General features: G+C 40.5%; 1 protein-coding gene and 1 pseudogene across 12 annotated transcripts in view; one reads left to right on the plus strand and one right to left on the minus strand.

Moving 5' to 3' along the window:
- The window catches only part of RAD51B (RAD51 paralog B), an 863,318-nt gene that overhangs the window by 584,699 nt on the left and 258,509 nt on the right, over positions 1-20,110 (plus strand). For all 12 annotated transcript variants that reach the window (NM_001321818.2, NM_001321809.2, NM_001321821.2 and 9 more), the window contains one exon: positions 6,947-7,050. In NM_001321818.2, the coding sequence (NP_001308747.1) occupies positions 6,947-7,050 (104 nt within the window). The remainder of the gene's footprint in view (positions 1-6,946; positions 7,051-20,110) is intronic.
- On the minus strand, positions 17,015-17,759 carry PPIAP6 (peptidylprolyl isomerase A pseudogene 6; annotated as a pseudogene).

Here is a 20,110-nt window from a genome sequence, read left to right on the forward strand (position 1 = left end):
CTTGAAAGTCAAAAGACATAAGAGACCACTAAGTTTTCTAGTTTAAAATAAGGTCACAACTTTATAGTAACTTACAGTTTCCCTACCTCCCTCTCTCAAGTGATTCTATCACTGCAATCACCCTTCAATTGCTTTCCTATACTTGAGGCCCTATTAAGTAAACTATCTTTCCAATCCTTGCCAGATTTTTAATTCTACAACCAGAGAGGATCAGTTCCAGGCCACCTGACTTGCGTGAATCCAGCTGCTGGGCCAGTTGAGTGAGATTAAGTAACTTGCTGAGCCAGAGTATGTGCTGTCTTTCTGGAAACCCCTTGCCCTGGGTTATCACTGTACATCAGAACAGAGGAAGCCGAGTATGGAGCCTGAGTGACATGCAGAGCTCAGATGAGTGATAAGATCCTCATGACACACTTCCATCGGTATCCTCCCAGAGATGGGCCTTTGAGCTCTCAAGACTCTTGTGGGCTGGCAGAATAACACGTTATTTGACATGAGAGACATGATAAGCCCAGAGAAAGCTAATTGGAGTAGTGGTTAAAACTCAGTTGGCCTGGTTTCGAACCCTGGCTGTGTCAGTAACTAACCATGTGAACTGGAGTGACTTAGTTTCTCATAGCCTCATTCTGTCAATAGGGATGTTAATATTACTCACTTCATAGGATTGTTGTAAGGATCAAAAGAGATGTAGCTAAGATATGAAGCTCAGCAAGATTTAAGCTTACATAGTGCCTAGCACATAGTACCTTAAAAAATATTGCCTTTCCACCTTGGGCAACATAGTGAGACCCTGTCTCTACAGAAAAATAAAAATAAGTTAGCCAATCATTGTGGCATGTGCCTGTGGTCCCAGCTACTCGGTAGGCTGAGGTGGGAGGATTGCTTGAGCATGGGAATTCAAGGTTACAGTGGGCTATGATCATACTACTGCATTCCAGCCTGGGCAATAAGGGAGACCCTTTCTCTAAAAAAAAATTTAAAAATTGCCTTTCATTATCATTAACTTTCAAGGCCTTGCTGTTATTACTTTTATGGTGGATTAATATTTGTAAGAACTCCTAAAAATACAAATGGATATTTTTAAAGTCTATAGTAGACTACAGTCAAGCTTGCTCACTCAGGGTTTCCTTTGGAAACTTTTCTGTGGTCATCTGTACTCATGGCCCTTACTTAAGACTTGGGTTTACCTGTCCAGAAAACAACCAAATACATGGGTACTTTTTTATACTATTCTTATTGTTTTAGCGACGCGGAGTCCTTTAAATAGTTGCTCCTGGCCCAAATGTGGCTCCAATCTCTGAAGACATCCTGTGTCTTCCTTTAGACCCGAGAAACTCCTACAGTTTATCACCAAAAAAAAAAAAAAAAAAAAAAAGTTTGAGTGCTTAACTAGCAACTCCTAATTATTCACATGTAGCTTTTTCTTGACAAACTTTAGAGCTTAGCCTCCCTTGATCCCATCACTTAGCAGGCATCTAAGCAACTAATTTCTAGAGTTTACTTGAAAAATGTAAACCTGTTAATTTTAGCTAAGCAAGATAGAATTAAGGATGTAAATCTGCTGCCAAAACAAGGATACAATATGATTCAAAATTTAGTGGAAATAACTTTTTAATTAGTCATTTAGTCAGTATTATAAGCATCCTCTGTGTCTCAGACCTTGTGTTAAGTAACTCAGGCATGCTGACATACATCAGGCGTGGGTTTGGCCTCTTTATAATATACAGTCATATGTCACTTAACAATGAAGATGGGTTCTGAGAAATGCATCATTAAGCAATTTTGACATTGTGTGAACATCATAGAATGTATTTACACAAACTGAGATGGTATAGCCTACTACAAACCCAGGCTGTATAGTATAGCCCATTGCTCCTAGTCTACAGACCCATTCAGCATGTTGCTGTACTGAATACTATAGGCAATTGGAACACAGTAGTAAGTATTTGTGTATCTAAACACATCTAAACAGAAAAGGTACAATAAAAATGGTAAAAGGATTAAAAATGGTACACCTGTGTAGGGCACTTACTATGACTGCAGCTTATAGGACTGGAGTTGCTCTGGGTCCGTTGGTGAGTGCACCTACTGATGAATGAACATGAAGGCCTAGGACACTGCTGTACACTACTGTAGACTTCATAAACCCCGTATCCTTAGGCTATATTCATTGATAGAGACATTTTTCTTTCTTCAATAATAAATTAACCTTTGATTACTATCACTTTTTTACTTCATAAATGTTTTAATTTTTTAACTTTTTGATCTTGTAATAACATAACTGAAAATACAAACATTGCATAGCTGTTCAAAAACATTTTCTTTATATCCTTATTCTATAATCTTATTTCTGTTTTTTAGATTTTTTTACCTTTTTAAACTTTTTTGTTAAAAATTAAGACACAGACACACACATTAGCCTAGGACTACACAGGATCAATATCATCAATATCACTGTCTTCCACCCGCCCATCTTGTCTCACTGGAAAGTCTTCAGGGGCAATAACACGCATGAAGCTGTCATCTCCTATGATAACAATGCCTTCTTCTGCAATACCTCCTGAAGGATCTTCCTGAGGCTGTTTTACAGTTAACTTCTTAAAATAAGTAGAATATACTCTAAAATCATGATTAAAAAAAGTATAGTAAGTACATAGTACATAAAAGTATAGTAAATACATTAAAAGTATAGTAAATACATAAACTACATAAAAGTATATATAGTAAATACATCAATATAGATATGATAAAAAGTATAGTAAATACATAAAAGTGTAGTAACTACATAACTGGTTTTTGTATTTACTAAACTGGTTATTATAAGTAGAATAGACTCTAAAATATTGATAAAAAGTATAGTAAATACATATAATAAGATCAAGTATTATGTACTATGCATAACTGTATGTGCTATACTTTTATACAGCTGAGATTATAGTAGGTTTATTTACCCTGCATCACCACAAGCATGTGAGTATGCATTGTGCTATGATGTTACCATTGCTGTGACATCACTAGGTGATAGGAATTTATTAGCTGCATGATAATGTTATGGGGCCACTGTCATATTTGCAGTCTGTCATTTGCTGAAACATCATTGTGCAGAGCACGACTCTGTATTAAAGGTGATAAGAAAAGCACACAAATAATATACCACAGGTAGAAAATGATTGTAATATGAGACAGTAAAATAAAGTATTATAGAAGTTTACAGGAGGAAGACATTATTTCTGTGAAGATTAGAGAAATTGGCACATAGGAAGTAGCATTGAAGGCAGAGTAGATTTGGGACATGTGAACATAGGGGAGTTCCAGATGAGGGAGGGACATGGGAAATAAGTGATTAAGTAGGAACACAGTTGTGGGAAATGGAGCAGGGGGAAGAAGTCTGGAAGGGCAGGTGGGCGCAGGGTAGAAAGTCCTTGAATGCCAGTGTTAGGAATTTAGAATTCTCTGAAGACACTTGGGAGCCACTGAAAGGTTTTGAGCCTGCTGGTTGTAAATGGGAGGGTGGTGTGCTTAGGTGTGTGCTTGGAGGAGGTTAATCAGGTAGTAAAACAGAGGGTGGCTTTAGTAGGGAGAAAGCCACAGCAGCACAGACAACAGGCAACTAAAGCAGTCACACCAGGTGAAAGCTAATGTGGGTCTAAGGTTGATTTAGGAGGAATGGAGAGTCAGGAATGGATCTAAGGGTGAGGTAGGAGAAATGAATGGATGGATATAGGTAGGATTTTACAGTTAAATCAGTAAGACCTCTCAATTTATTGCAAGTGAGAAGCATGAGAGAAGGAAACATTTTGAAAATGGAGCTGAGGTTTTAAACCAGATTAACTGGAGGGTCAAAGGAAGGAACAGAGATGGAGTAGATTTATATGGGAAAATATGAGCTTGCTTTGATGATACTGAATTTGCAGTGCTAAAATTTATGATGTAGACTTGCAGTTCTTGTGGTTAAAAGTGGAAGACAAGTGTTGAGACAAGCCAAAGGTTGCGACAAAGGCGTAGAAACCATCCACCTTGTCAAATGGGCTCTCATCCTTTTCAAAGTGGAGCCATGCCATGTAGAGCAGACACTGCAAGCTTGATGGGAATGAGGCATATCTGGCTCAAAAGCATGTTTATTTGTGTGTTTTTAAAAGTGTAAATATTGAACCAACATTTTAAAATCAGGAAATTATACTTAAAAAGCATTGATTTCTGGCTTCCGTTTTAAAAATCAAAATTGCGCTTTAAAGTTAGCGCAATTAAAAAATCATATCACTATGATTTTTAAAAATCAAAAGATGTGATTATAAAAGTTTTTTACAATTTTAAAATAAATAAATAAGATGTGACTAACTATGAACTCACATTGCCACATGACAACAGCTAGAGCTGAACAGAGACTGCCCCCTTGAGATCCTGGATGAATTCTCGAACTCACCACAGTACTCACCACTTCCCCTCATCTCCTAAGGCTTTAATTGAAAGTCAGTTACTAAATCTATAGAGAAAAAAAAAATAGGTTAATGGTTGCCAAGAGCTGGAGGTGGGCAGGGAATGAGGTGTTGGGGACTGATGGCCAGTGGGTGTGGGATTTCTTTTTAGGGGTTTGAAATGTTCTAAAGTTAATTGTGGTAATGGCTGAACATCTCTGTGAATATAGAAAAAGCTGCTGAACTGTACACTTGAAATTGGAGGAGGTATGATAGCAAATTATCTCAATAGAGCTGTTTTTCTAAAATGCAAATATAGTTGCTATTGCCCTTGCAGTGTTGATTTTCTTATAGTAGAAAATATTTTTCTATAAGTCTATTTCTATCAAAAAGGGGAAAATGAAAAGTTAGACTGAGAGGGTTGTGAATTTCAAGAGAAATGGTAAAGACTATATCTCTTAGTGGGGGTGAAGAAGTTCTACATGTTAATATGCAAGCACTTGGCCTCTTTACTAATGTACATTATTTTCCTGGATACTGAAAGCATCTGGTATTAGACAAGAAAAAATGTGGTCATGCCCCACTCCCTAAGGTCCACCCACAACTAAGAAGAAAGAGAAAACAAAGGCAGAAAAAGGAAAGGAGTAATCAACATGGTAAAAGGAGAAGCAGAAGAGGCCAGTAGATTGGATGCCAAGGAAGGGGGAAGCTTTATCAACTGCTGACAAGAGGTCAAGGAGGATGAGGCCAGGGAAGTCAGGAGGTCATGGGAGACCATCCAGTGAGGAGGCTGAGAGAGGTGAAGCCAGAGAGAGATGCAGAGGCAGCTGACAAAGTGCTCAGAGTGCATTGTTTAGGAGATAGTATTTAATCTCAGGCATGAAGGACTACTGAAGGCATTTTAAGTAGGGGAATGATGTGATCAGATCGGAACAATCTAGATTATTTGTTTTCACATTAATTTGTGCATATTTTGAATTGTGTGCATAATGAACTGAGGTTACCCCAAATTTTATTCTTTCTTACACTAAATTCTCTTTCAATCTGATATCCCCAGGCTTGTTGAGACCTTGGTTATTGATTTCCATCTCATTCATTCCTGTTCCTGCTTGAACCAGGAAATAGATATATATGGTTGGTGTTATCTGACCCAGGGGTTCTCAACTTCAGCACTGCTGTATTTTGGGCTGGATAATTCTTTGTTGTAGGATGCTGTCCTATGCATTATAAAATGGTTAGCAGCATCACCAGCCTCTACCCTCTAGATGCCAGTAACACTGCGAGTTAGACATTGCCAATAAAATCACCCTCCAGCCAAGAACCACTGAACTACATTTGTCTGTTGCAGCATTTGGGCCCAGGTGCTTAAGGCCATGTGCAGTTAGTAGACCACCCTGAAAGGTGTCTGCCCTGGAAAAAAAAAGACCAATTCCTACTCCACACTGAGGCGTACAAATCAGATGATGTAGTAAGGGGACAACGGATGACACATTCAAGGCCTCATTTTGTTTTAGCTAATTCAGTGGACTTCAACCTCTATGTAGTCTCCTCATAGAAAAAAGATCGCATCTGGAGGCAACAAGGCACACTAAATGTCCAACTGTGCCCTCCTAAGGTTAGGATTCCTGTCATGGCCTAGGGCCAAAGTTGGTTCAGAGGAGGCCTTGGGCACAGGGCACAGGGGTTCAGAGGAGGCCTCGGGCACAGGGCACAGGGGTTCAGAGGAGGCCTTGGGATGTGCTGGACATGATAGTGGGAGCTGGCTTCTATGCAGCAGGACTTGTTGGCTTGCCTTCAAGGGGGAAGGAGCAGGTAGGGAACAGAAAGGGTTTTCTCATGGTGATATCAAGAAGGGTCAGTAAAGCTTTGGAGATGTAAGATGCAATTTGGAGGAGGCTAGGAACTCAGATAGAGTTTACTTCAGACCCTCTTCCTTATAGGAAAGTCTTAGAAGGTAAAGGAATGTTTCTCTTGGAATAGGGATGTCTAAAACAGCTTACCTATGAAATGCTGAGATCTTCTAGATTCCTTTTTTTGCGTTGTGTATACGGGGGGGTGGGAGGACCAGGGAATTTTACATGTATATGCCACCATTTCTATATTGATAGGGAAAATTGAGTTAAGACTCTTGTCTAGCTAAAAATGTCTAACAACTCTATTAAACTAAGACTATTTCATAACTGGTTCTTATTCTGTGGAGTAGCATTATGCCTTAGATATTGAATGGCTAGATTTACTAGTAGCAATGGCTCTGAGCTATCTTGCAATGCAACCTCTTTTTGATATATAACTCTGTTATTATTTGGCCCAGTGGTGGTCACTTTCACCAAGGCTGAAGGAAACCCCTGCTGGTTTTTAGTCTCATATTCCTTAACCCCTCTCCTACTTCACTGATTCCTCAAGTTCTGTGGTAATGAACTGAGCCTCCAAGTACTCTCTGGACTACTGGCAATGAGTAATGTCTGGACTTCATGTGAAATGCCATCTCAAGAAAGGGCATCTGAAAGCGTGCTTTTACCATTTCATTTCAGGCACTTCTGGATCCAGCTGTGTGATAGCCGCACTAGGAAATACCTGGAGTCACAGTGTGAATACCCGGCTGATCCTCCAGTACCTTGATTCAGAGAGAAGACAGGTGGGTGCTTTGACAGTATTCTCTGACTATGAAGGTCGGGGAATGAGATATACCAAGCAATCTGAGCGTCTTCTGAAAATGCTGGCCGCATTGTCTGTCCTGAGCCAGCAGCAGCTATTAGGGCCTAAAGAAACCAGCATTTCTGCTTGTCCCAACAACAGTTATAATAAAGTGGGGAGACAAGTCACACACAGGAAAAAACATAAGAATTGATCCCACAGAGTCAGCATTTCTCTGATATTTGTAAGTGACCAAGGACCACACCTCTAAGGGTATCCAATTCTCTATCTCTAAATGATCATTTCACTTAGATTGTATTTGTTGAGGACTAATTTGTATATGAATTAAATAATGATGATGCTTTTTCTTGAAGTATGTGTACTTTGAAAATCTTAGGCCAGCAGATGCTGCCAAGTGAATAAATTATTCCCCAGATACTAGGTACTTTTACATTAACGCATACACCTGTAGTGTAAAGTACTGAATGATGCTAGAAAGACCTCCAAATGGTTGGTCACTTTCTCAGAGTTCCCTATTTGTGGTTTCTATCCTGGCCAAAACTGAAAATCCTTCCCTTACATCCAGAAAGTTTACTTTCTACCTCCTTTTAAGTCTTCTGTCTTCATTCTTCATTCCAAAGAAAAGGACACCACTGTCTGACCTCTTTGGTAAAGCTTTGGTAAAATGTTTCATAATAAAAAAATTCTTTTTCCTAATGACTAACCTCAACTTTATCCTGCTGTGTGACCAGATTCAATCTAGTTTCTCCTAAAAGCAGGAGGAAGAAGACGGGTGATTATTTTGATTTTTTGGATAGGACAGAATTCAGAAGCCAGATTTGCCCACCTTGCTAAATATATATCAAATCCAGGCCATTTAGATACAGAGGCATGAAATGTCACACTGGTGATCCTTTCTGGAGAAAATGGCAGAAAAGCTGTTGTTGCCTTTACCTGCATTAGGTAAACTGGCTCTTTTTCAAGGAAGCAGGAATCATCAAAAACAGGCGTGAGCTATTGCCTGTTCTAGACATAATTTTCCAAACCAGAGAATTCTTCTTGGTTTGCTTTGGACTATGTAAATAATATTCCAGCTTGGTGATCACGTCAGCCATGTCCTGAGAAGATAGAGCTGCTTGTTTCTATTCAGGGAAACATTCTTGAGTTTTCAGGCCCTGGACTACTCATTACCTCAATGGCACCTTTTCCCTGAAGAGTCTGGTATCCTAGGTTCTGAAGCTGTTATTTCTCTTTTTAGTGGAACACATTCCAAAATATTCCTGGGGAATCTAATGACCTTTGGTAGTAAATCATGTTAAATAGCTGTGTTGCAGCTTTCAGGGATATCATTAAGGATTGTTGAACACACCTATGTAAACTTTATCAGAGGAAGCAAAATTCCTTGTGAATCAATGTTGAGTCATTCGTTTTCATGGATCCTTGATCCCACTCCTTGAAAACTTATAGTTTATCTCTGTTTCAGGTTTTAGATTTTAGAAGCCATTCTTACTGTTACACACGGAATTTATGATTTCATCTATTATATATGGTATCATGGGTTCAAGGCTCCCAAATCCTAGTTTTACTAATTCCAGTTAGAATTTATAAGTGAATAAAGAAATTAGAGCCATATTTTTACTTTTCTTTTGTTTTAATAAATTAACCAGTCAGTGTCAACAGGAAGTAGCTGGTAGGACAAATGCTATTTTTTATGTCTCTTTGGTGACTGGAGGATGTTGGTGGCTCTTGGCTTTTGGCTGATAAGGTCAAATGCAGGCCAGTGGTCATAAGGAGAACCAGGAGCAAAGTGTAGATGGATCAGTGACAGTTCATCAACTCCCATCCCATTAGATGGGTCAGTCATGTTATCTTAATTTACAAAAGACAACTTGTTACTATCATTACTAATCAATAAGAAGCAGACTTAAATGCCTTGGAATCATGTTTTCAAACAATAATTAGAAATTAATGTAAAATATGGCCAGTGTTAAAATGGCCAACCCAGGCAAAGAACATACATTTAATTAATCTATAGAAATATGCATGCCTTTGGGGACCAGTTGTTAAATTTGTGACCTAATAACTAGAATAAAGTTTGATATAGAAAAAACATGTCTCTGTCTAGTGACCTTATCTTGCCTTAGCAGAGGGTGTGCTTAGTGATTCCCTGAGTCTTTCCTGTGGTCTTATTTTATGAAAAACCATAGAAGCCATACGAAGCGAAGGCTTTTCTGGGATATGTGCATAAAACAGTACTTTAAAGCTAACCTTTAAGGTAATTGCACCAAGTAGTACTTTCTTATAACACCATTTAGTAGCAGAACGTGCCTAGATAATTCTAGGGTAGTAAGACCTCTGGGACACCAGCCACTTAGAGAAGATAACAGGTATAGTTTTTTGTTTTTTAGGGTTTTTTTTCCAATGCCCAAGCAGAGGCCACTACACCCAGGGATCAAGGTTATGGGATGAGGATTATATTTTATCCCGTTTCTATGACATTGAGCTCTACACCAGGGCTCTTGAATGTGAGGCTTAGTTTCAGATCACAGGCCTGGAAGGGGGTCAGGTCAAGCTGAGCAGACCTTCAAGCCGATTAACCCAAGAGCTGAATTGTGTTGTCTGAGGGAAGGAGTCCTCCCTGGCTGATTATTTTCTTTACACCCTGGAAACTTTGCAAAATTTTATAACCAAGAAAGAAATCTTATCAGGGCCACAAGCCAAGTTAATTTTCTTGCTTATTCTGCTTCAGTGTTTGCAAAAACTCTCTTAAGAAGCTGGAAAACATTTTCTTTTGGACTAATTTAGCTTTTTTTCCATTTGACTTTTATTTACTCTTTTCCTACTCTGCTTCAATCCTGCCCCACCCTTTTTGCAACATTTTTATTCTTACCAAAGACATGTTCTTAGAGTAGAATTAAAATGGCCTCTCCTACTTTTTGTAGTTGTTGTTGTTTTAAACCATCGAAAATATGTTTTGGTCTACCCCGTGCATGGTATGGGGATATAAAGAAGTAGAAGACTAGTTCCTGCCCTCGAGGTCCAAACAAACTAATACTGAGGTACTGTTACAAGGCAGTGTTTGATTTGTTGTCTAATGAGTGGTTAAAACAGTAACTGCTTTGACTCTAAAGGAAGGTAACATCATCAGAGGCATATTAAGTCTTTTCAGGAAAAGGTGAGACTTGAGTATTACCTTAAAATCAGTGATTCTCGGCAGGACGCAGTGGCTCATGCCTGTAATCCCAGCACTTTTGGGAGGCCAAGGTGGGTGAATCGCCTCAGGTCAGGAGTTCGAGACCAGCCTGACCAACATGGTAAAACCCCATCTCTACTAAAAAAAAAAAAAAAAAAAAAAAATAGCCAGGCGTGGTGGCGCATACCTGTAGTCCCAGCTACCCAGGAGGCTGAGGTAGGAGAATCACTTGAACCCAGGAGGCAAAGGTTACAGTGAGTAGAGAGTGTGCCACTGCACTCAAGCCTGGGTGACAGAGCAAGACTCTGTCTCAAAAAAAAAAAAAAAAAAAAAAAAAAAATCAGTGGTTCTCAAACCTGGCTGCACTTAAGGCTCATCACAGGAGCATTTATACCAATGCCAATGCCCCACCCTGACCAGTTAAATCAAAATCTCTGCCAGTAGAGCTGAGCATCAGTGTTTATTTTATTTGTAAAGCTCCCCCATGTGATTCTAATGTGCAGCCAAGGTTGGGAACCTCTGCCTTAAATAATAGATAAGATTCAGGTAGTCAGAAAGGGGAGGTGCTGGGGTAGAGTGAGCTGCAGCTGAAGAACAAACAGGAGGATAGGCTGCATCGTCAGAGGGCACAGGCTGGGTTTTGCCTTGTAACAAGAGCAGAGGGTTTGGGCACTCATTCATTTGACAAACCTTTATTTAATCACCTCTTCTCTGCTAGTCACTGTGTAACTAGTTGCGCTGGAGATTCAAGAAAACAAAAACAGGTAAGAGATGGTTGATACCCTCTGGTTGTTCACAGTCTACTTGAGGAAACAGATAAGCATGTAAACCGGACTTGCAGTAAGAGCACAGTGAATGAAGTAAGTCTAGAGGAGATGGGGGGTCCTGGCACTAAGGAAGGTTCTCTAGCGATGAATGAGGCAGAGCATGAGGCAGAGAGGAGTGGCCGAGGCCTTCACTTGGGAAACTCTTGCTATTACAAAGTGCCTTCTAGCGAGGGCTGGAAAAGCTAGAGTAAGGCTGGTTATACTTGAAAGAAGGAAGAAAAACTCGATAAAAATATTCACATTTATACAATTTCTCCTCAAATCCTCATGAAGTCTGGTCTTACAAACTACAAATGGGATTATATAAATTTTCAAGTGCCCTAGAAAGAGTAATGAAGTAAATGAATCCTGACTAAGCCTCACACCCGCTTGATGAAATAAATATTATGACTCTCTTATTTCAACAAATTGGAAAGAGGTCTTTTTTTCATATAGGAGGTTTATTTAAATGAACTTTCTAATAATATTTTCATTTCTATTTAGGAGGCACCCTGAAATTATGGGATGCTTGAGGGGCGAGCCTGAAGTACCTAGTAAATTGTTGACAGAACCAATATCACTCAAGCTGCTGATCCACACTTGAATCTGTAGGCTTTTCTCAAAGTCCTAGTTTTGCATCTTAGAAGTATTGCATCTTGGAAGTATTTCTTTGCATCTTGGAAATATTCAATGTTTCCTTTCTGGTGATAGGATTCTCAGTGTCCATTTTATATTTTCGAAGACTCAAATATCATCACTGTGAAGACTTCCCTGACACCAGCTGTGATCCGTCCCTCTTCCCTCTGGCCCACACTTGCACCTGGCCCTTGTCTCTATTCTTAGACTTCTGAGCCCTGAATTATGAGCCCCTTGAGGTCTATAACTGAATTTATCTGCATACCCTCAAATGTAAGGGCAGTGCTTGACACTTACACAGTAGATACATTTATTTTGAAAGAGAGAGAGAAAGCAAGAAAAAGAAATGCACTCCCTGTAGCTACTCGTGAACCCAGTCTGAAGGACGAAGGACTGCTTATTTAGAATCATTCTTCCGCATAGAAATTGAGTTTTACAATTTAACCATTCCTTTAAAATGTTAGTAATTGTCGGTTTAAAATGTTAGCATCAAACCTTGACAATTATAAGCAGATACTTAAATAGAAATACTGTAAGAATACTGAAGATAGGAATACTTTTTGCAGAACCAGCCTGCTGTAGTCTATGGGAGGATGGGAGTCAGGCTTCCCCTGGAATCTTATGGGATAGCCTTTGTGTAAGCAAGCCAGAACCCTAAACACAGACCCAGGCTGAGGGAGAGAAGGGTTCTGCAGCTGCTTTCAGGGACCAGATAGCATGAGGAGGGTAGGAAATCTTTGTTGCTATCTTCTACAAGTCTTAACTTCTCCTCTCTGTGGTTGGACAGGCTTAATGAAAGACTGAATAACCAAAGAAAAGTTGATAAATTTTTTTTCCCAGATAAGCTAAAGGGTAGATGTGGGGCAGCATGTCAGGCTTATATTCATATTCACCCAAAGAAAGATATCGAGGATGATGTTTTACCTGATGTAAGTCATAGTTGTATATCTCCCTACTCCTAGATTCCTCCAAAGAAGGATTCAGGCTTAGTTGCCCTAACTCAAAAGGAACCTCTCTCCCTTGGTGGCATGGTTCCAGGTCGCTGTACTTGTTCTCTTGTTTTCTACTCCAGCTCACCTGCTGTTTTTAGGCAAGGAGGATTATGTGAGTATGTGTGTGTGTGACTAGATCCCGCCAGAGGAGAAGTTCGGCTGTGCTGCAGGGGTAGATGAAAACTCTTTTTAAGCATAAATACCTATAGAAATAGCAAAGGGAACATAAAATCCAGTCAAGTACATTATCTTGGGTATAAATGTCTCCTCCCTTTCCAGAGCTGCTCAAGTGTGAAATCCAAGCCCCTGCCCACACTCTTGCAACAGAAGTGCTCTAACAGGTATTAAGTGGATTGGGGAAATAAATAAAAGGGGAACCCAGAATGGTGGCATTAAAAGAATCCCTTTTTTCAGGCAATGTATTGGCACTAGGCACTAGGCAAATGTATTAAAATCTGAGGAAATCCTACGGAAAGTGTGTGGTCCCAGTGAATGAATACAATGAGCTGCTACTCACAGTGCAGGGACTGAGAAAGGGCAACACAGACACCCAAGTGGTCATCTCCCATTTCCATCTCCACATTTGAGATAAGAATACCTGTATCTTTCCTACCACCCACAAACAAACAAGCAAACCATGGGACTCCCTTTGAAAAAAGTCAATATATCCAAGAAATCACTATTTCTGAATGAGCTCAAGTAGAGAGAACTTTCTCTTAAGAGGGTTCCGCTGGAAATTGCCAGCTGAAAATACACAGGTACAATGACTCCCACGCTGGAGATGAAGGGTCCCCTTTCCCATGCTTTGACCACGATAGACCGTGTACCTTTGCTAAGGTGGAGAGTCAGTCTTTCCTAGGAGATTTTGAGCCAAATAAAATAAAAACAAAACACGGGTGAGAGAACCACCATGATGTTTTAAAAGGCGAAAGATTTACGCGATTTGAAGAGAAACCAGAGTATACCACCATGATGTTTTAAACATCATTTTTTATCAAATATAGTTACAAAATTAACCGTTACCACCATTTCAAAAAGGTAAAGGCACTTTAACACCAAAAAGTAGAAAGGACATATCTAGAAGGAAGAATACATGTATTGATATATTTAAACTGAAAACATTTCTTTTTATGGCAGACTTAGCACATGTCCTTACTTCTCTCTTTGAGGCGCATGAGCTCTGACCATCACAGGACAAATGACTGGTCCTCTTACAGAGCATGTAGGTGGTTTACCCTTTAATGAGCCACTCATTTCACTAGCATTTTATCACCTCTGTTGTTCTCCTCCAGCTCTGACTTATTTTATTTTTATATGCTGTTTGTCTGGTACCAATTCCCCTTGTGCAGTGACCCTGCCTGCTCTAACTTGCTAAGTAAACTAGGCCAAATACCTGGGCAGGAGATTTCTAGAGAAATCTGAGCAGTTGCAGGAAGTAGAAGAGACACAGGGCTTTGGAACCAAATTGAAGACCCTGTTGTCTGGCTTGGGAAGAAAAATATTTTCAGTTGGGAAACAACATCGGAAACAGCTATGAGATCTCTTGGACAAGGCGCTGCCCTGAAAGTCAAGGACCTTGAAATTTATTTGGCTCATTTGAGAATGAAGATTGGACAGGATGTTTTATTTTAGCCTTAGCTGGTTAGCTGTGAGTGAGAAGAAAATGGGCAACCTCATTGGCTAGGGAAAGTAAAAAGGAAAGAAGGGTTCAATACCTGCCTAAACTATGAACTGATTTACAAATGAATCAGCACTTTCACTAGAACAAAAAGCATTTAGAATATGACAGTGCCCATCTGAGATACAGTCTAGAGATCATCTTCTCCAGTGAGTCTCAAGTACAGTAAATTTAAAAATCCCAGGTGTTTGTGAACAATGAAGATCCCAGGCCCCATCCCCAGTGCTGTATTCAGTGAGGGCAGTGCCAAGCCTAGGATCTGCAGTTTTTAGCAAGCACTTTGGGTGATTCTTACATGGGTGTTCTTCAGTTTCATACTCCATTCTAGCCCCTTTGTTTTACAGATGGCGGTAAGCAATTGATATTAACTAATTTATTCAGGGTCACACAACTAGTAGGTAGCAGAAATGGAACAGAAATTCAATTCTTTCAATTCTGAATGTGTTGCTATTTTCACTTTACTCTGGTGACTTTTAGTAGATAGATTCTAGGCAAAAAAGTCCCCAAACCCAATCAAATTATTGGGTTTGCAGGTGATATATTTATATCTCTCATGACTTTCAGTGGTTTATAAAGAGCTCCTAAAGAACTGTGCAGGAAAAAAAAAAAATTTAAGCACCATCTCACCCCACATTGCAATCAATTACAAGATAAAAGTCATCTTTTAAATTCTTGAACCCAAATCTGAATATGTGGCTTTTTCCAAGTTAAACTTCACAGTGAGCATGAACTCCCCAGTCAAGTGACTTTCCTTATAGACAACATCCTGCCACAGGGCTGGCTATGCTACCGCTCTCCTACAGACAGCCATTTGTGCTCATGGACATCTCCCTTAAATCCTGGCTCCCTAGTCCCCATCTTCATAGGCTAAAGGTGTGTAATGGGAGAACCAACTTTGTCTGATCTTGCGAGCATGGGAGCTTTTTGGTTATCACATTTTTGAGTCAGTCAATCTTTATTTTGAAAAAGCAGGGCAGGACAGAGGGAGGAAGAGAGGCTGAGGGCAGGCAGCAGCCTGTGTGGGAACCCATTTCCTGCCATCCTAGGGTCCCATAGTTGATAATGGACAACATCCTTGCTTGGTTCTTGTGCACCAGGTGATACTAATTTAAATTCCTCTTTATTTTCTAGTGATGGAAAGGAGTTAGCCTTTACTGAGTACCTATGAGTTTGCAGGGATCATTTTTGACCCTTTGTGTTTTATTTCCATCAATTCCTCCAATAACCCTTCAGCATAGATCTGATCATCTCTATTTTTACAAATAGAAGAACTTAGCTGATAACATAAATAACTCATATTCAGTGATAGCATCAATATTTGAAACCAAGTTTGTATAGTTCCAGACCCTCAGTTCTTTTTCCTGTACCATGTGCTCTGAGATGTAAGATGGTGGTTGTGTTACCGGAAAGGGATCTCAATCCAGACCCCAAGAGAGGGTTCTTGGACCTCATGCAAGAAAGAATTTGGGGTGAGTCCATAAAGAGTCTACTTTGTGCCAGAGTTCATAAAGTGAAAGCAAGTTTATTAAGAAAGTAAAGGAATAAAGTATGGCTACTCCACAGCACAGCAACCCGAAGAGCTGCTGGCTCGCTATTTTTATGGGTTTTTTTTTTATTATATGCTAAACAAGAAGTGGATTATTCATGAGTTTTCCTGTAAAGAGGTGGGCAATTCCCAGAACTGGGCGTTCCTCCCCTTTTTAGACCATATACGGTAACTTCCTGATGTTGTCATGCCATTTGTAAACTGTCATGATGTTGGTGGGAGTGTCTTTTAACATGCTAATGCATTATAATTAGCGTATAATGAGCAGTGAGGACACCAGAGATCATGTTCATCATCATCTTGGATTGGTGGGCTTTGGCCAACTTCTTTACTGCAACCTGCTTTATCAGCAATGTCTTTGTGACCTGTATCTTTTCTGACCTCCTATCTCATGCTGTGACTTGGAATGCCTAACCTCCTGGGAATACAGACCAATAGGTCTCAGCCTTATTTTTACAGCTTGTTTTCAAGACAGAGTCACTCTGGTTCAAATGCCTCTGACAGTTATCACTGTTTTAATTTAGGAATAAAATGAGGTGCTAGAAAAGGAGGCCTTGACTTGGTGATGATTCTGCTGGGTTGCAATGAATGGTCCTTATTATCTTCCTCTCTGACTTTCCTGAACGATGATTAGACCTAGAATGTCATTTGGTTTACCTGTAAAACTTAGTGAGTTATGTATTAGGATAGCCCCTCCCACCCTGGGGCAGGAACATGAAAGCAGTGAGATGAGGAGCTTCTTCTTGCTTTTTTTCTCTTGCTCTAGGCATTATTTGACTTTGAAATACTCCTGGCATTTTCCTGTGATTCTGAAGTGCCCCTTCCTCTGCTTGTGTGTGTGAGATTTGAAAGCTTATCACACATGTGGCTAAAGCAGGTCCAGCTTGGAGCATTCGTCTTCTGGCTGCTGTTGCTGGGGGAGTATCCCTGCTGTGAGATGCTACGCCGCCTGAGCCTGTGGCCTCTGCTTATCTCCTGGGGTGGCTGTGGCTGTGAGGTGCACAGCATGGTACAATGCTAGTTTTCATTTCAAGTCCTTTCTTGATGTCACTGATGGGTGCAATGAGTGGAGTGGGGGGACCTCAGGCCCTTCCAAATTCTTTCTTTTTTGTTGTTGTTATTTAGTTTTTATTTCATAATCATAAACTTAACTCTGCAATCCATCTAGGCATGGGAGGGAACAAGGAAAACATGGAACCCAAAGGGAACTGCAGCGAGAGCACAAAGATTCTAGGATACTGCGAGCAAACGGGGTGGAGGGGTGCTCTCCTGAGCTACGGAAGGAATGGTCTGGTGGTTAAGATAAAACACAAGTCAAACTTATTCGAGTTGTCCACAGTCAGCAATGGTGATCTTCTTGCTGGTCTTGCCATTCCTGGACCCAAAGCACTCCATGCCTCCACAATATTCGTGCCTTCTTTCACTTTGCCAAAGAGCACGTGCTTGCCATCCAACCACTCAGTCTTGGCAGTGCAGATGAAAAACTGGGAACCATTTGTGTTGGGTCCAGCATTTGCCATGGACAAGATGCCAGGACCTGTATGCTTTAGGATGAAGTTCTCATTTTCAAATTTCTCCGTGTAGATGGACTTGCCACCAGTGCCATTATGGTGACTTCACAGTCACCACCCTGACACATAAACCCTGGAATAATTCTGTGAAAGCAGGAAACCTTATAACCAAATCCTTTCTCTCCAGTGCTCGGAGCACGAAAATTTTCTGCTGTCTTTGGGATCTTGTCTGCAAACAGCTCGAAGGAGACATGGCCCAAGGGCTCGCTGTCGACGGCAAATTCAAAGAACATGGTGGGGTTGACCATGGCTAATAGTACACGGTTTTCCTCAGCGGTGGCGTCCGCAGAGCACCCAAATTCTTAATAGCTTATAAAATTAGGGGTAGAGGAGGTTGGGTGCGGCAGCTCACGCCTGTAATCCCAGCACTTTGGGAGGCCGAGGCAGGTGGATCACGAGGTCAGGAGTTTGAGCCCAGCCTGGCCAAGGTGGTGAAACCCCGTCTCTACTAAAAATACAAAAATTAGCCAAGTATGGTGGCAGACACCTGTAATCCCAGCTACTTGGGAGGCTGAGGCAGGGAATTGCTTGAACCCGGGAGGTGGAAGTTGCAGTGAGCCAAGATCGCACCACTGCACTCCAGCCTGGGTGACATGGCGAGTCTCCATCTCAAAAAAAAAAAAAAAAAAATTAGGGGTAGAGGAATGGGAAGCAGACAAAAGGTTTACATTGTGGAGGTTTGAGGAGAAATGAATCAAATAAGTCTCTAGCATTCTGTTTGACTTTATGTTAGTCTGATTATGTTACCATAACATTTTATGATATGCTACACATTATCTGATGGGTGATTAATTTTCAAATGTAATACAAATCATTGAGCTTTCCTGATTTCTGCCGCTGTAAATAATTTGGAATTTTCAGTTACTGCAAAGTTGACATAGTCACTCCTTCCTTCCTGTAACCTTCACCTTACCTTGTTGTCCCCTCCCTGCCCCCAAGCTTCCCTGGATTTTTAAATCAGCCAGTGGCTCCTGGCAACTGTCTTAGAATGCTTGAAGCCGAGGTTTTTTTTCACTGAGGGTCTCTTTCTAGAAGTTTCTCTTCTTACCTTGGCAGAGCTTAAGAGTTCTTGCATCTCAGACAAAGACTGTGTGTGCTTGACTGTTGGACATTCATTTTATTGTTACAAAGGGACCATGATTTTGAGAACACCTTTGGAGAGCCCAGCTCCCATGGTTGTATCCCACTGCCCATTTTCTGAATCCTCAACTCAGAATTGGCAATGAAAGAGTGAACTGGGATTATGATCTGTGATTCTCTAACAGAATTCTCTGAGAGTCAAACTCCAGAAAGAGGCTCATCTTTACAAACCTTAAAGAATTAGAGCTAAGGCACCTGGTATGTCTGGGAGGGATTGAAAACAATCCCCCCAAAGCCCCAGCGGCCCTGGCTCTCTGGTTGCTATGCTGAGTTGATTCATCCATTTATTGAGAGTCTACTTTGTACCAGTTATTCTGCTAAGTGCTTTGTGGGCATTTTCTTTTTCAAGCCTCACGAAAACTCTGAGGTGGGTATTACTAGATATACTTTACAATTGGAGCACATTGAACGTTATGGAGTTTGAAAATTTTGCTCTAAATCACATGGTTCTAAGGGGCAAAGCCAGAACTTTCCTTTTCCTTTGCCTCTCCCTCCCCCATCACATACATACACTCCCTCTTTTATATCCCTAGGTTCTTAACCTTTATTCTACAATGAGTACCATGTTCATGTAAGATTATTCATGCATGTTACTTGGAATTAATTGCAGAACAATTTTTTTTCAACCCCTGTGGTGTGGTCACCTTCAATACTTATACTTGGTGGAATACTCCCTTCAAAGAGTGGAATGATCCATTGCTTTGAGAGAGCTTTTTCGATCTCTGTTAAGTAATGATTAGTTATTTCCTTATAACTGTGTGGCTCTGTGTGGCAACAGAACACTTTTGAGGAAGAATAAACTCTACAGGACATGGTCTTCTGAATCTCACCATTCAATCAGGGGAAGTTCTGGTTCTTCTTCTCTGTTCCAAGTACTAGCCTTTCCAGCCAGCACCTTTTCTGTGCTCTGGGTTTGGCTTCAGTGTTCTGTCATTTATCGTCAAAGAAGAAAGAGAAGTCTCTGTGGCATCTTGCCCACAGTGGGGATGGACCTGTGCTCACCTCTCTCCTCCAGTAAGAACCTAAGGGCCCAGGAGGTATAGTGGTGCCTCCCATAGATACTTCCCTTCCCTCATGGATGATACAGAATGACATATAAATGATATCTATTTCTTCATTTTTTTCCTTGCAAAGTCACTTTTCCACATACTAATCCATTTCACGGTTTATCTTTAAATCCTTTCTCAGTTGTCTATTCTTCTCTGAAAGTATTATCCCAGCATCCTAATGAAGATTCCATCAATGTCTAGTAAAATGACAAAACTCTCTAGCAGTACTATGTTTTGTTTTTGGTTTTGGTTTGTTTGTTTTGTTTTTACTGGTGCCTCTTTATAATAAAAAGATTTGGTGGCTCCAGCACAGCTTCTAACCCTTCAACAGCTGTGCCTATACCAAGCTGTTCTCTCTTATTTGTAACTATTTATGCAGTGTTCTCTCCAGATATACTGTTCCATACTGACCTGCATTGGAATGTTAGGCTCTTCTTTGTGACTGATCTC

Source organism: Homo sapiens, chromosome 14 (assembly GCF_000001405.40).
Source record: "Homo sapiens chromosome 14, GRCh38.p14 Primary Assembly".
Taxonomy (NCBI): domain Eukaryota; kingdom Metazoa; phylum Chordata; class Mammalia; order Primates; family Hominidae; genus Homo; species Homo sapiens.